This window comes from Homo sapiens, chromosome 12, assembly GCF_000001405.40.
Source record: "Homo sapiens chromosome 12, GRCh38.p14 Primary Assembly".
NCBI lineage: Eukaryota > Metazoa > Chordata > Mammalia > Primates > Hominidae > Homo > Homo sapiens.
In genome coordinates, this window is record NC_000012.12 from 75,857,764 (window position 1) to 75,875,828 (window position 18,065).

Sequence of the window (18,065 nt, forward strand, 5' to 3'; positions counted from 1 at the left end):
GGATTATAGGTATGAGCCACTGTGCCTGGCCTGTTTTTTCCCTGTGATCACACTGCCAGGCAATATAGCTTACTGTATTTTGCAACTAAGAGAGTGTTTTTGTTTCCATGTGTGTGTGTGTGGTTTTTTTTGTTTGTTTGTTTTTTGTTTTTTTGGTTAAGTCTCATTTATGCCCAATACTAAAAAATGATAAAGGATAAATGAAATCCATAGAAAATAAAAAATACTTATCTACAGGTAACCTTAAAATATCTTTATTTATTAGTTTGCCTTAAAAATACCTTAAGAATAAGACCCAGCACTTTAGGAGGCCAAGGTGGGTGGATCGCATGAGCTCAGGAGTTTGAGACCAGCCTGGGCAACATGGCAAAACTCCATCTCTACAAAAAATACAAAAATTAACCAGGTGTGGTGGTACATGCCTGTAGTCCCAGCTACTTGGGAGGCTGAGGTGGGAGGATCGCTTGAGCCCAGGAGGCAGAGGTTGCAGAGTGAGACCCTGTTTAAAAAAAAAAAAAAAGAATAAGAGGGAAAAAGAGAAAGATAGTGCCCATATCCTAACTATGCCTTAAACACAAAAAGATGTTGTTTTTTAATCTCTTTGAAATGGCTTACCTTTGATATTGATTTTCAAGTTCAGGGCCACGAGTAAAGGAATAGTGTTAACTAGACTCAAAACAACCTGCAATTCACCTGATCAACAAGACCAGGAACCAAGTGGCCCAGGTCATGGGAGTAGTGGTTTTGTGGGACCCTGGTTAGTGGTCCTTAAAGGCCGATTTTTGTGACCTCAGGGGTTTGTGATAAACCATCCCAGTTTGCCTGGGGCTGACACAGTTTTAGCAGTGAAAATCCAGTGTCCCAGACAAACTGGGCTGGCTAGTCACCCCATGCATAGGCACCGCCTTTTTTTTTTTTTTTTTGGCCCGCCTTTCAAATCACCTTAACAAAATGTTGGTTTGATCTTTGGGATTCCAAAGGATGTTTAGGAAAGTGAAGAAAATCATAAATGCAAATTAAATCAATTTGTTCACCAAAAAGAGGTTTCTTTAAAGAGGACACCTAAATGCTTCTGCTTATAGACACATAAGAAATAAGAAGAATGCAGAAGCACTGTCTCATTGCTTCCAGGGAGAAGAATTTGGTGCTGGCTGACCAGGCAAGGATGGTAGTCTCTCACGGCATGCCCTTTTAGAGCCATTTGAATTAAATGGATGCATATTCATGATTACACTAATTCAGTGTTGTGGAACTGTGTTCCTCAGCAGGCCTTGAGGGACCATAGGGTGGGGAATTAGGGAAGTAATAGAGATAATTGCAGACACCCTTCACCTGCTTCAAGCAGCTTTGTATTAGCTGTTTTACATTTTGGCTTCTTCACAAGATTTCACTTAAATAAAAGGTTTTATGATATTTTTAAAAGTCTAAAAACCATAGCACTAGTCCTTTTACTTACAATCTGTAAACAGCAACCCTTTCTAAACAATCCTTTACGGAAGAGAGACACCAAGGTCTACTGAAAAACTGGGGACATGGCATCAAAGGAGTCAGGTTCCAATCCTGGGTCCACGCTTGCTGTCTGTGTGACCGTGAGTAAGTTTCTTTATACCCTGGGAGCCTTAGTACCTTCATCTGTTTTCAAAAAGTATATGTATCTGTGTGTAATATTAGCCCATTGTGAGAATTAAATGCTATACTACTCATGAACCAACAAGCACTGTACCTGTGTACATAGCAAATACTCATAAATGTCTAATCTGAAACTGAATCAGTGTTAAAAAGGCATTAATGCAGAAGTAGGTTATTAAAATACTATTAAAAGGATGTGAAGAAAATAATAATACCACCTGCATATGTTTATGTCAGGTTCTGTTCAAAGTATTTTATACTAATTAATTCAATTAATAAAACAGAGTGAAAGTTAGAGATGAGTGGAAGATTAAAGGAATGGAAAATTGGCCCTATGAGGATACTGGACCAGAGATGGGGATAATGGTTTACATTAGGACAAATGTAATCTCAGCTGATCTGTAGGAGATCTCAGCTAAAAATAAAGAAGAAATTATTTGGCTATCAAGCCAATCAAATGCTGGTAAAGAGTTTGTTAGGTACTGTGACTCCACAAGGCCATTTACCTAGGGAGGGAGCTGAAATATGAGGAAGCCAGGAAAGGGACAAAGAGGCCGATAGGCTAAATCCAAGTTGGCAGAGTGTGGCCTAGATGAGTGCCCTGCCCTAGAAGGAGAGCCATAACCAAATGCCAAGCCAAAGGACCACAATGAGAAGGCTGCCCAGTCAAAAAACTGAGTCATGAGTCATGGGTTGGGGTGTAACACCCTGAAACAGCATACCAAAGGCAAGAAGGCAGTGTCTGAAAAAGCCAGCTGGGCCATGTGTGGATCTCAGCAGATTATCAACAGCTCTGCCCTACATCTCTTGCAGCCATGCAGTTCACCGTAAAGCAGTCCTATTTATGAATTGTTAGCTCATACCAAGACTCTTCCAGGAAAATTTACTGGGCTAAATAGGTGCATGATTGGCCAGTCGTGGTGGCTCACACCTGTAATCCTAGCACTTTGGGAGGCAGAGGCACGCAAATCACCTGAGGAGTTTGAGACCAGACTGGCCAACATGGAGAAACCCCATCTCTACTAAAAATGCAAAAAAAATTAGCCGGGCATGGAGGCACATGTCTGTAATCCCAGCTACTAGGGAGTGTGAGGCAGGAGACTCCCTTGAACCCGGGAGGCAGAGGTTGCTGAGAGCCAAGATCATACCATGAACTCCAGCCTGGGTGACAGAGCGAGACTTGTCTCAAAAAATAGTAATAATAAGTAAAATGACTTCTCTAAATGGTAGCTATTTATCCCCTCTTATCTCAAAACAGAGTTTGGATAAGGTAATCACAATGTATTTTAGAATTCTGTGAAAAACATGGAAGAGATGAATAAAAAGAGGGTGGGACAAAGAAAGGGACTAAGAATTTTTTTTGGCCTGGCGTGGTGGCTTACACCTGTAATCCCAGCACTTTGGGACGCCAAGGCAGGTGGATCACAAGGTCAGGCATTCGAGAACACCCTGGCCAATATGGTGAAACCCCGTCTCTACTAAAAATACAAAAATTAGCCAGGCATGGTGGTGCCTGCCTGTAGTCCCAGCTAGTCAGGAGGCTGAGGCACAAGAATCACTTGAACCTAGGAGGCAGAGTTTGCAGTGACCCAAGATTGAGCCACTGCACTCCGGCCTGGGCAACAGAGCGAGAGACTCTGTCTCAAAGAAAAAAAAAGATTTTTTAATTGCCATTGATAAAAATTATATTTTTAAGTTTTAATATGAGTAACCCATCTAAAAGTGGGAATAAATAAAAATCATACTGTTAACCTAGTACAGAGGTTCTGAAACAGCAATCCATGCAGACTAGGTACATCAGAATCATCTGAGAAGTCTTTTTTTGTTTTTGGGTTTTTTTTTGTTTTTTGAGGTGGAGTCTCTGTCACCCAGGCCGGAGTGCAGTGATGTAATCTCAGCTCACTGCAACCTCTGCCTCCTGGGTTCAAGCGATTCTCCTGCCTCAGCCTTCCAAGTAGCTGGGACTACAGGTGCCCACCACCATGCCCGGCTAATTTTTGTACCTTTAGCAGAGACGGGGTTTCACCATATTGGCCAGGCTGGTGTCAAACTCCTGACCTTGTGATTCACCCACCTCGGCCTCCCAAAGTGCTGGGATTACAGCGTGAGCCACCGTGCCCGGCCAAGAAGTCTTTTTAAAAATATATTCCCAGTTATTTCCCCCAGACCTATTACAACACAATTTCGCAGGATGGGTCTGGTTATCTCTATTTTTTAAAGCTCCTTGGGTGTTCCTGATATACAAATAGACTTGAGAACTTCTGACTTTGTAGACACTCTCAGTATTCGAGGCCTTGTACCAAAAATTAGTGAGAGCTTTTTAGCCAGCTACCTGCTTAGGGTACTAGGACAGTAGTGTTGGTTTGTTCTATTTGATTCAGGTACTTCTCAACAGTAAGAGAAAACTTTTTTTTAACACAGGACCTGATGAGAAAAATGAGACAATATATAAGGAAATACAACCTCCTATGATAAATGAATTGAATCCATATACCTTACTTATTGTAAGCAAAAATACGTATGGTAAAATATAAATAATCACAGGTTTAAATGTCCTCCTCTCTAGAACATTGGTAAAGCCCTTAACCAGGACCACTTGGGAGAGAAACTCTGTCCTTATCTGAGTCCAAATCTGCATCTTATTTTATAGTTTTCATCCATGAAGGTCTTTTTTGGCTGTTTCCTGTTGTCAGTGCTAATATGCTCATTGTAAAGAACTTTGAGTTTTTATGTCTACAATTACTCAAAGTCCAATGCCTAATACACAGGTTTTCTTCCATTTAAGTCATCAACTATATTTCTAGTATTGTTCCAGTCTCTGCTCGTAATTGCTTTTGTACGAGCCTGTATAACCAAAGAAACTTCTAAAGATACAGTCCTCTTATATGACCACTTTCAAATGGAACTGTTCCGCTCAAAGCTTCAGATCTTTCCTCAGGTGAGGCAGAGAGAGAAATCACTTCTAAATTGAGCATTTAGCCTTCATTACTATATTCCCTATATCACAATGTACTGTAAATGGTTCACTTATCTTGCATTTATCCCAAGGTACTATAAATTTATGTTTAATTATTTGATTGTTTATCTCTACCATGAGTTATAATAAGTCTAGGAGGACAGGGAGCATCTGTATTGTCTATTGCTGAATCACCTATACCTAACTTGATGCCTGGCTCACATAAATGTTTCATAAATATTTGTTGAATTGAAGAATGGACGGATGGATAATTGTTCCCTGCTTTTCCACAGAATATTTCCTACAAAGTTACTATCCACCCTTGAGGCCCCAGAGAACAGACAGGGTAGCACATTCATTTGTGTGTGTCCTCAGTACTGAGACCAAGGGCTGACACAGAGTAGTTGTATAATGAATGTTTGATGAATGACTGAATAACCTAAGGCAGAGTTCACTAAGCCATATGATTCATTGCCTTGTTGTTCAATACCTTCCACAAAAGAGTTGCCTAAGCTTGTATATAATCTGAATCAAATCAGAGGATTCAGCAGAAATTCTCTGAACTTGAATAGTCTGGCTTGTGAAACAGCTGAATATCTAAACATTCCCAAGTTCCCAAATTGTATGTAGACTAAATAATTTGCAACCAGGAATTGTCCTTGTTAGGGAGATTAGTGCTGAGAATATCCCAATTTGTACACTACTAAGTCCAAGAAACAAATTACATGTCTATTTGCCAGAGCCATGGTTTCTGTATGGCATCATCTCAGATGAGTCAGGACCAAAGAGGTCATCAGTATCAGAAATGCAGTGACTGATTTCCTGCACCGTTGAAGGCTGAGAAATAGGATTTGGGAATTGAGCTTTATAGTCCAAATATTCCTTCCATCACCTTACCCCCCCATAAATGCATGCACTCAATTGAAGTCAGATTACTCAGGCTGACTATAAAAGGCAAGATTTTCCTGTTTCCATTTTCAAATATAAAATAGCCACCTATAGGAAATAAAACATGATTCACAGTTAGGTAAATACTCTATTGTTAGTGAGTCAATAAACATGAATCAGTCGTATACTTATAAAGACAACCTGAAAGAATTTGAGGCATAGGATAACAAAATAAAAATTAGAGCTAACATCTGTTGAACATTTTGCTGTTCACCAAACATTGCACTAACAATATGGAATATATGACAGTTAATTTTAGGTATCCACTAGACTGGGTTGGGAATACCCAGGTAGCGAGCAAAACATTATTCCCGGGTGTGTCTGTGACGGTGCTTCTGGAAGAGATAAGCATTTGAATCAGTAGACTTAGTAATCAGCAGACTTCCATCCAGGCTCTGCACCGACTAGATGATGATCACCCACATCCTCTGGATAAAAAGCCAGAGGGAGAGTCAATTCATTCTCTTCTGGGTTGGGGATAGCCATCTTGTCCTGCCCTCAGACGTCGGAACTCCAGGTTCTCAGGCCTTCAGCCTTGGACTGAGAGTTGCACCGTTGGCTCCCCTGTTCCCAGGCCTTTGGACTCAGACAGAATTACACTACCAGCTTCTCTGGTTCTCCAGCTTGCAGACAGCATATCAGGATTTCTCAGCCTCTATAATCACATGATCCAATTCCCTTAATAAATTCCCTCTTATATCTATATATATCCTATTGGTTCTCTTTCTCTGGAGATCTCTGACTAATACAGAATATATCTTTTAAATCTCCATACTAACCCAAGAGGTAAAGTCTATTATTATCACCATTTTATAAATAAGAAAACTGACATCCATAGAAGTCAAATAATTTTCCCCAGATGACACATTATATAAAAGAGGGGCCAGGATTTAATCCCAGAAAGATAAAAAGGTAAAAATCTAAGCCAATCATTTAACATCTGAGTCAAGAAGCAGAGAAAAATCAGTGAACACCTTTAAAAGTTCTTTTGGGGTTAAGGGAGTCTGGCATACAAGTAGGATTTCCACTTCTATGCAGTTCAGACAGGAAAGGAGATGGTCCCAAAGTGGTAGGTGTGGCTGGGAATACAACCAATTTGAATCAAAAGGAGGAAAGAAAATCAGTTCCAGATCCAGAATACTATGTGTCTCTCCCAAGGCCTATTCCCCTCCCACAAAAAAATTGTCCAATTTTTAAAATTTTCTCTTAAGGGTCACATCTATAAAACAAATCACTGGAGGCTCAGAATAGGTACTTTTTACAAATATTATTAGCTCCTGAATATAGGTATCTTACTTACTACTCTTAATACATTTTGAAACCATGAGAATCACTAAATAAAGGCAGATCTTTTACCCATGATTCACCTACTAATCCAAAGCATCCAGCTAAATAGAATTCCCATTATTTCCAATAACACTGCTCTGCTCAGAAAGCAAGAGGCCTAATCATAATCTACTCTCCGGTAGCCTCCAACAGGTGAAATGTGTTCAACAGTCCCCAGCCTTCAGGAGGGCAATTCAGTGTGCACGTAGATACAGCCAATAGCATCTGTTATCTGTTCCATCAAGCTTGCCCAAGGGGTGGTGTTCAGGAACTCAAACCACGTTTTTCCCCTGCTCTCACGTCGACAGCATAACAATCAACACAGAAGACTTCTGTGACCCCAAAACATGTGAAGATTTCTCCCCACTAGCAAACAAGGAATCCATTCTGCAGCAGACAACAGCTCGGTGTCCTCCAATTCGATTCCGGCTTTATCTGCTTGCAGACAGCGTCAGATCCCACAAGTAGAGGGCTCAATCATGAAAACTGGCCCCTGCTTCAGCCACCAGCCACAAGCCCAGGCCCTCAGAAATTTGACTGACCAGCTTTAAGTTGGGGTTTCCATGACCCACCTCTTTGGGCTCAATTAATTTCATGGGATGGCTCACAGAATTCAGGGAAACATGTTTACTGGTTTACTATAGAGGATATCACAAAAGATACAGATGAAGAGATAAAGGGAGTGAGGTATGGAGGAAGGGGCACAGAGCTCCTCAAGGTACACCAGGAACCTCCTCATGATCAGCTATCAGGAAGCTCCCCAAATCCAGTCCTCCTGAGCCTTTTATGCAGACTCCACTGGATAGGCATGATTGAAACATAGAAAACCATGTAGAAATGTGATTGGACAAAAAAGATGTGATCTAAACCCAGCGAGGCCCGTCTGTTCAGATTCTTCTTGGCCTCTCTGTGCAGGCTTCCTTCCTCTAGGGTATGAGTCAGGACCCTCTCTGGAATATAAGTTCTTATGACCCACAAGTAGATTGAGTCCTGCCTTGGGCAAGTGGAAGGAGAAGGTCAGAGAGTGATTCTGTTTCCTGCGGCCTGCACCTGAGACCTAAAGTGCCCCATCATTATAACAAAGGACTATAAAAGGGCTAATGGAAGCTATAAGCCAGGAAACCATGACATTCATATATATAAACCATATATATGTTTTCATTCATATATATAAACCATATATGTTTTCATTCATATATATAATGTTTTCATTTATATATAAACATATATGTTTTCATCCATATATAAATATATATTTGTTATATATATGTTATAAAATATCACAGGTGACACAAAGTAATGTACCTGCAATTTTTTCTTTGGTCCTTAACTGCTCTGAGGAACTAGTGTAGCCCTGATTTTCCTATGGGAATTGTGTATTGGGCACAGGTGAAACAATTACAAGTAGCAATGCTTCTAGATGTCCCTTGTAATAGCAGACCAATAAGCATTCCTCATAGAGTTGGGTCACGACTCAGACCCAGCTCTGATGTCTCAACTTCAATCTGCACAGAAGCTTCCCAGCACAATTCTAATGGGCAGACTAGGTTTCTGTAGTCCATAGACAAAGGCAGGAGGTAAAGTGGGAACCTGGATCTAGAAAGCCAAGGACAAAAAGACCAAAGCAAGTACAGAAACTGGAGTAAATAAGTTATTTCCAGGCATGGTTACTTTCATCTGTCAACTTGACTGAGTCTCAAGGTGCCTAGATATTTCATCAACGATTATTCTGGGTATTTCGGTTAGAGTATTTTTAGATGAGATTAACATTTAAATCAGTAGACCGAGTAAAGCAGTTTTCCCTCCCTAATGTGTGTTGGCCTCATCCAATCCTCTGAAGGCTTGAATAGAACAAAAAGGCAAACTTTCCTCCTAGTAAAAGAGAAGTCTCCTGCTTTCAGACTCAAACTGAAATATTGGCTCTTCCTGGGTCTCAAGGCTGCTGGTCTTCAGACTTGAACTACACCATCAGCTCTCCTGGGTCTCCAACTTGCTGCCTGATCTTACAGATCTTGGGAGTTTCCTACCTCTATAAATGCATGAGCCAATTCCTTATAATCAGACAACCAATTTCCATTTCCCTCTCTCTCTGGGTCTCTCTCTCTCTCTCTCTGTCCAGATAGATCCACACACACACACACAGATATACACACACACACAAACACACACCATATTCGTTCTGTTTCTCTGGATAACCCTAATACACTTCCCTTGCACTTCAGCCCCTCACACCCATGACCCATGACCACACCTTTGGACCTTGTTACCACCTGGATCTGAAATTTAGCACTCCTCTACCCAACTCTGACCACGACTTCCTATCCCTTCAGCTCCCTGGGTCCTTTAAATCCACCACACCCTCCCTTTGACCTCCCATCTTGGACCAACTTAAACTCCTCCCGTACTCACTTCCTGCCCTACCTGCCTTGGCCTCAGATCCAACACTCAGTGTCTCTTAATATTTGCAACTCCCTTGCCTATAGTCAGCCACTTTTGCCCACCAAAACCCAAACTCTGAATCAATCCCACTGCCTGTCTACCTTTTCCACGTTTAGATCCAGAGTGCTCAGTGCTGTTGGAGAAAATCAGAAAACCGCACATGCTGATGCCCCTACAAATTTCAGCTTCACTGACAACACACTCTCTGGTTTCTCCTCTTCTATCTCTAGACATTCATTCTCATTCTCTGTTTGGGATTCTTCTTCTTTCACTGGCCCCAGGGGTCCATCCTCCAGCCCCTTCTGTCTACACAGTGGATATGTGGGGAATTAGTTCCAGAACCACCCTCCTCACTCTTCCTCCCAGCCACCACCCCACGGCCACCCATTCCCCACCCTGTACCAGAATCTGCAACTACTTAAGTCCCACAGTTGGCCCTGCAGGAACCCTCAAATAGGAAACGTAGGCCCTCCATATAAGTGGGTTTCACATCCCTTGAATACTGTATTTTCTACTTTTTACTTATATGTAAAAAATCCACATGTAAGTGAACCGGCAGTTCAAACCCATGTTGTTCAAGGGTCAATTGCCTACACTTTTTGGATGATCTTATCCACCCCCATGCCTTTAAATCTTCACCCATATCCTAATTTTTTATTGATCTACATCACCAGTGCTGGTCTGTCTCTGAATTCCAGATACAATTGCCTCCTAGGCAGCTATAAACACTCAAACTCCACATCTGAAAAAGGAGCTCTTAGCACCTTCACCTTAACCACCATTAACAACCTATTCTTTTTATATTTCCTATCCCAGTGAATGGCAATATCACCCACCTGGTTGTTCAGAATAGAAACCTGGGGCTCACCCCCACATCCAGCAACTAAATTCTGCAATATTAATACCCCTTTAATATCTTCCAATTGGTGTACACGTGATATTGTTTCTTCAAGGCTTTATTATTTTCTCATCTGGGCTAATGCCTTAGCTTTATTTGCCCTTCTCAGAACTTTTTTTTTTTTTTGAGACGGAGTTTCTCTCTTGTTACCTAGGCTGGAATGCAATGGCACGATCTCAGCTGTCCGCAACCTCCACCTCCCCAGTTCAAGCGATTCTCCCGCCTCAGCCTCCCGAGTAGCTGGGATTACAGCTCACCACCATGCCCGGCTAATTTTGTATTTTTAGTAGAGATGGGGTTTCTCCATGTTGGTCAGGCTGGTCTCGAACTCCTGACCTCAGGTGATCCACCTGCCTCAGCCTCCCAAAGTACTGGGATTACAGGCGTGAGCCACTGTGCCTGGCCGCCCTTCTCAGAACTTTCTTTCTTGCAGTGAGCTTTCTATCATTGGTAAATAATATTCAATAAATATTTTTGGGTGTCTATTATGTGTCAGGAACAGTGCTGGGAGATAATGAGAAACAAAAGCAGACACAGTCCCTGTCTTCCTGAAACTTACACTCTCTCATGTTCTTTTTCTAACAAATGAATTTCATATTCACTCCTTGCAAGACATGAGGTCTGGAGCCAGATGCCTTTGGTTTGAAGCCCAGTTCTTCCATTAGACCATGCATGCTTGGTCAAGTTAACAAGCCTGTGCTTTAGCTTTCTCATTTGCAAAAGAAGAATCATGAGAGTGCCCACATCCAGGGCCAGCAGTTGCCGATACACACAGTGACAGTGGTGGGTAGCAGTGCTTCACAGCTGGCATCCCTCCTGCTAGGATGGCTGCCAATGAGGACCAGTCCACGCCAGTTGGTAAATATTTTTAACTCTCTCTTCCTTATTCCATAGAGTTGGTGTGAGGATTAAACGAGCTAATACATGTGAATGAATAGAAGAGCACTGGCACTGAGAAGTACTCCATTCCATAAATATTCACTGATTTAAATTCAACAGGTGATTTCCCATCCCAAGGTATCAAAGCTCTCCATTTCTTGCTACCTGATCATCTTACCTTCTGTTCCAGCCATACCAAACCTCTTAGTTCTCTAAAAAGGCCACTTTCTTTTCACCCACCTTTATATTTTTATATACGCTGTTCCCTTTGCCTGGTCCACCCTAACCTCTTCTGTGTCTGCATACAAATATACACATAAACACCTGGAGAATGCCTACTCTTTCTTCAATGCTTAGCACATATTTCTAAAACTCCTCAGTGTGGCCAGGCACGGTGGCTCACACCTGCAATCCTAGCACTTTGGGAGGCCCAGGTGGGTTGGTCACTTGAGATCAGGAGTTCAAAACCAGCCTGGCCAACATGGTGAAACCCCATCTCTATTAAAACTGCAAAAAATTAGCTGGGCGTGGTGGTGTGCACCTGTAGTCCCAGCTATTAGGGAGGCTGAGGCAGGAGAATCGCTTGAACCCAGGAGGTGGAGGTTGCAGTGAGCCAAGATCACGCCACTGCACTCCAGCCTGGGAGACAGAGTGAGACTTCATCTCAACAAACAAGAAAAAAAAAAAAACTCTTCAGTTTGAGTAACACCTCCTTCAGGAAGCCATCTCTGACTCCCCCTCTAGGTGCACTGACTCTGGTCACTTATTAGCAAACATCAATTACTATGGGCCTCTCAGCCTCCCTTCCCTTAACAGCCTCACTCGTCTTTCCTTTGAGAAATGGCTCTTCTCACACTACCTACTCTGTGGGAGTCTGCAGTATCTTTAATTACAGTTGCCACCCTCCAGGCACAGTAGCCAGATCCAACGAATCACAGCATCCCGTGGCCCCTGTGATAGTGATTGGTCCAAGAAGTGGGCGTGTGACACAAACTTAGCCAATAAAAGTCCTTGCCCTCCCTTGGATTGTTCTAACTAGAGCAAGCAAGGAAGATTTTTTTGTCTCTGGGATCAGGTAAATAGAAGGATGTGGCACAGGGGTTACTTACAGCCACATTCTCCACCATGGAACCAAAGAATTTTGATATATTTTTAGAATATATTGGCCTTACCTCTATCAAAGGCCATTGCCTCTCTAACTGGAGTTTTCTGTTTAACAAGAGATTCAGTCAACAATGAATGTTTGTGCCCATTCGTTGTAACATTCGTTGTTAACAATTAATCTCTTGCATTCAGATATACATAATACTGAAAATTGGGCACAAACTAATTACATCTCTGGCCACACTTTATATTATATCAATATTAAAAATAGTATGATATTCTTGCCATAAGTTGACAACAGGAATAGACTCAATTTAGCTATCTGAATTTTTTTTTTTTTTTTTTTTTTTTTTGACATAGAGTTTCACTGTCACCCAGGCTGGAGTACAAGGGCACGATCTCGGCTCACCACAAACTCCGCCTCCTGGGTTCAAGTGATTCTCCTTTCTCAGCCCCCTGAGTAGCTGGGACTACAGGTGTGCACCACCATGCCAGCCTAATTTTTGTATTTTTAGTAGAGACGGGGTTTCACCATGTTGGCCAGGCTGGTCTCGAACTCCTGACCTCAGGTGATCTACCCGCCTCGGCCTCCCAAAGTGCTGGGATTACAGGCATGAGCCACCATGCCCAGCCTGCTATTTGAATCTTTAGAGGAAGGAACTGTCCTTCACACACATTTTGAGGGGAGAATGCATAAGTCTGTCCACAATTTGAAACTTAGAGACTGAAAACTAAGTTATACTCAAACAGAGCTCAAATCTTTCCTTTAATGTGAAAATATTTTGCATATGACCCTTTAGAGCTAAAGGGGTAGGAGACATTAAAAGAAACAAAACAAGGCATTTTTCTGTTTATTTCAGAAGAGAAAAGAAAGAAAACAATTTAGTTAAGCTAGAAAGTAACTTATCTGAAATGAAAAAATGCAGTTTCTAAACCTTGTTTAGCCATTGAGTCGCCAGAAACATAGCAACTCTATTGTGAATCCTCTCTTCCTCCCCAGCCAGATCTATAAATTAGAAATAATATTATGCGTCCTGGCTAGTCTCACTACAGCTTAATGAGGTTATTTCTAAGAAATCCTTTCATTTCAAAAAGTCATAGGAAAATTCAAAGAACTTTTATTGTAAAAGGACTTAATTTGATTAAAAAGCCCTCCATGCCTACTTTGTGAGTCATGCAAATTTCCCACTGACTTTCTGTGTGTCTCTATTATCAGCATTAAATATTTATTTAAAGTCTATTGAAGTAAAAAATTATTCTCCCAGCTCTCAGCCCAAGTTGATTTCTAATGACTATTTAGTTTTTATGATGATTTTTACATTTTTCATTAACAATAGAAGAATCTAGTGTTAAATTGAAAGTTATCAACATTGGCCCCTTGCAAGTTTTCTGAATGTTGAAAAGATCTTTTTTTTTTTTACCATATCTTTCCCTAATTGCATGAGAATAAGGTTACACTTAATTATTATTTAGAATTTCTATAGTACATTTATACAGGCAAATACCTTAATTGAAGTAACCAGGATGTACTGCCTTCTCAACATCCACTTGAATATCTAATAAGCATCTCATGGGAACAGATTGTGAGGACAGAAAAAAAATAAATAATAATAATAATAAGTATCTCAAATTTAACATATCAAAAAAAAAAAAAAAACTTTCCTGATATTCACCCCTTCCCAACCTGCTCCTCCTGCAGTCTTCCCCAACTCAGTTAATGGCGACACCATTCTTTCAATTGTTTGGGTCAAAACCTTGGGGTCATCCTTGACTCCCTTCTTCGTCTCACACTTCACATTCAGCCCACTAACAAAGCCCATCAGCTCTACTCTCTAAATATACTCCAAATGTGCTGCCAGCTTAGTCCTACTGGCTGCCATCCCTCACCTGAATCACTGCAGCCCCTGACGACTGCCCTCCCTCCTCCCACTCCCACTGCTTCAGTCTATTCTCAGCATAGCAGACATAGTGAGCCTGCTGAGCAGCCTACATTAGAAGATGTCTTCCTCCACTGCCCCCACCCACCGTGGCTGCCCAGCTACTTGGAACAAAAGCAGAAATCCAGACTATGATGACAACGTAAAATAAAAATAAAATTTTAAGCCCCCCAAACCATTTGAATGGACCCCCTCCTCTTGGCCAAGGGCATTCCAAAGTTAATCTGAAAAACTAGTTCAGGCCTCCATGGGAAGTGAGGGCTGGGCATGCCTCATTATGCCCTCCTCCCTTTGGAATTCAGGTACAACTGACCATTATATTATTAACATTAAAACAGAGAACTTAAGACTTTTTGTAGCAATAAGACGCCAAATTCTGGCCTGCCTCTAATATAGCATCACAGGACACATAGCAGGCCCTGAAAGAAATCAAAGTATTTTACCCTAAAATGTGTTTATTTGATATATTTTGAAACGGCCCTGCAAAGCTGTCTCTTGTGGGGAAAATCTACATTCTGTAGAGAATCCTTTTCCCCTTCCAGGTCTTTTCCCTGATCCAGGAGAGAATTAGCTAAGAGTCTGGCATCTTTTTAAGTCTGATAAGAAACATTTACAATTTTATTTTCTCTGAAGCCTACCTGGAGGCTTCATCTGCATAATAAGAACCTTGGGATTATAACCCCTTATCTTAACCCAGAGACTCCCATCTATGAATTCCAGGTCTTTAGATAAAAATTATTTCAATCATTTGCCCATCAGAAAATCTTTGAATCCCCCTATGACCTGGAACTACTCCCTGCCCCACCACTTCAGTTGTCCTGCCTTTCCGTACTGAACCGATGTACATCTTACATGTATTGATTGATGTTGTATGTCTCCCTAAAATGTATAAAACCAAGCTGTGGCCTGACAACCCTGAGCATATATTCTTGGGATCTCCTGGGCCTTTGTCACAGGCCATTGGTCCTCATTGGCTTGGAATGAATCTCTTCAAACATTTTACAGAGATTGACTCTTTTTGTGGACAACAAGGACTCCCGTGAACTTTCTAGCCTCCAACCACCAGATCTGCTCCTTCTTTGGGACTTTGTACTTTGCTCTCGGCACTCTCTTCCCTACAATATCTGCATGGAAGTTTCCCTCACTTTTTTTCCAGTCTTACTCAGAAAGGGGCATTTGAGTAAGACATCTGAACCAAGTTCCCTGGCAATTTTATCTAAAATTGCAGCTCCCCACTCCTGATATGTCCTTTCCTCAATCCTGCCTTATCCTCCTACCCCCTTCAACACTATACCTAATCCCCTACATACTTAGTGTAATCTGACATAATGCTATTTAATCACCTGTCTCCCTTTCTAGAATGCAAAAAGCAGAAGGGCAGATATTTTATCCCTTTTATTCATGACTCTGTCTTCAGGGTCTAGCACCAAGTATGGGCTCAACAAATATTAATTCTCAAAAAAAAAATATGAAAGAGCTTCCAGCTACCTTCACCATAACACCAGGGATGATGTCTTCTGCTATTAAATTTGCACCTTGCCACACATGCTATTCTTTCTATATTTGTAATTTTCTTTTTTCTTTTTTTTTTTTTTTTTTTAAGATGAGGTCTTGCTATGTTACTCAGGCTGGTCTTGAACTCCTGGCCTCAAGCAATTCTCCTACCTCAGCCTCCCAAAGTACTGAGATTACAGGCATGAGACACCATGCCCAGCCCAAACATACTATTCTTTTCCTAGTGGACATTTCAGACCATGAAAATAGAAGAGTAACTGTGGCAAGGGGAGTTGGGTGGGAGACGGATGGTGCTTTGGCTCACATATGATTTGTCTAGATGGCTCTGGATGCTCTATATCAGCTGGAAAAAACCACAGCAGCTTTATGCAGAAATAATGAGCACCCAATCAGAACTACATGTGCCTGAGGACAGTAGAAACTTTTCAGAGCAAATCAGCTCAAGGAGCAACAATTTCTCCACTGAATATTGACTAGAATGGAACCTACCACCAGCCTACAAAGGTGAATCTGAAAAGTCTTTGGGTATCATTCAAATAACAAAAATCACTGAGGCCCTGGTAGTAAAATGGAAACAGTATAGTCCTTATACCAGGCAACTGCTACCAGCTGACATGTGTTATGTACATAACCAGATCTTCTGATTTTTCAAGAAAAGCCAGACTTTAGATTTCATGTGAAATTCCTCAAATGTAAAAAGTTGTCCTCTTATTCAATTTTTTTTTTTTTTTTTAAGATGGAGTTTCTCTCTCATTGCCCAGGCTGGAGTACAATGGTGTGATCTCAGCTCACTGCAACCTCCACCTCCCAGGATCAAGCAACTCTCCTGCCTCAGCCTCCTGAGTAGCTGGGATTACAGGTGTGCACCACCATGCCCTGCTAATTTTTCTGTATTATTATTGGAGACAGGGTTTCACCATGTTGGCCAGACTGATCTTGAACTCCGAACCTCAGGTGATCTACTTGCCTCGGCCCCCCAAAGTGCTGGGATTACAGGTGTGATCTACCACGCCTAGCCAGCTCTTACTCAAATTTTTAAATAGCAACACTGCCATATTCTGTGGGACAAACAAAACAGCTTCTAACCACATTCAGCTGGGACTCAACATTTGCCTTATATGCTAATGAAAGCTAAACCCAATTCTGAGAAGACTAAACCCATATAATCAAACTCCTATCTGTTTTAATCTTCTGTTAAATTTCTTCCTCATAGTCCTAGCCAGGGCAATCAGACAAGTGAAGGAAATAAAAGGCATCCAAATTGGTAAAGAGGAAGTCAAACTGTTGCTGTTTGCTGATGATATAATGGTATACCTAGAAAACCCTCAAGACTCGTCCAAAAAGCTCCTAGATCTGAACAACGAATTCAGTAAAGTTTCAGCATACAAAATCAATGTACAAAAATTAATGGCACTGCTATACACCAACAGTGACCAAGCTGAGAATCAAATCAAGAACTCAACCACTTTTACAACAGCTGCAAAAAAATTAAAATAATTAGGAATACACCTATCCAAAGAGGTCAAAGATCTCTATGAGGAAAACTACAAAACACTGCTGAAAGAAATCATAGACAACACAAACAAATGGAAACACATCCCATGTTCATGGATGGGTAGAATCAATATTGTGAAAATGGCCATACTGCCAAAATCAATCTATAAATTCAATGCAATACCCCTCAAAATACCATCATCATTCTTCACAGAAAGAGAAAAAAAATTCCTAAAATTCATATGGAAAAAGAAAGCCCACATAGCCACAGCAAGACAAAGCAAAAAGAAATCTAGCGGCATCACATTACCTGACTTCAAGTTATACTCCAAGGTTATGGTTACCCAAACAGCATGATACTGGTACAAAAACAGGCACATAGACCAATGGAACAGAATGAAGAACCCAGAAATAAAGCCATATACATACAGCCAACTGATCTTCCACAAAGCAAACAAAAACATAAAGTAGGGGAGAGGTCACCCTATTCAACAAATGGTGCTGGGATAATTGGCAAGCTCCATGTAGAAGAATGAAACTGGATCCTCATCTCTCACCTTATACAAAAATAAACTCAAGATGGATCAAAGACTTAAATCTAAGACCTGAAACCATAAAAATTCTAGAAGATAATATCAGAAAAACTCTTCTAGACATTGACCTCAGCAAAGTTCATGGCCAAGAACCCAAAAGCAAATGCAACAAAAACAAAGATAAATAGATGGGACTTAATTAAACTAAAAAGCTTCTGCACAGCAAAAGAAATAATCAGCCAAGTAAACAGAGAACCCACAGAGCGGGAGAAAATATTTGCAAACTATGCATCCAACAAAGGACTAGTATCAAGAATCTACAAGAAACTCAAACAAATCAGCAAGAAAAAAAAAAATAAATCATCTCATCAAGAGTGGGCCAAGGACATGAATAGACAATTCTCAAA

The 18,065-nt window shown here is 41.1% G+C and overlaps 1 annotated feature.

The window, feature by feature from the left end:
- Window positions 5,246–5,540: a silencer, noted in NCBI's record as "tiled region #6163; HepG2 Repressive non-DNase unmatched - State 23:Low". NCBI's record gives its function as "represses a minimal TATA promoter and a strong SV40 promoter by Sharpr-MPRA in HepG2 cells {active_cell/tissue: HepG2}" and the evidence as "EXISTENCE:reporter gene assay evidence [ECO:0000049][PMID:27701403]".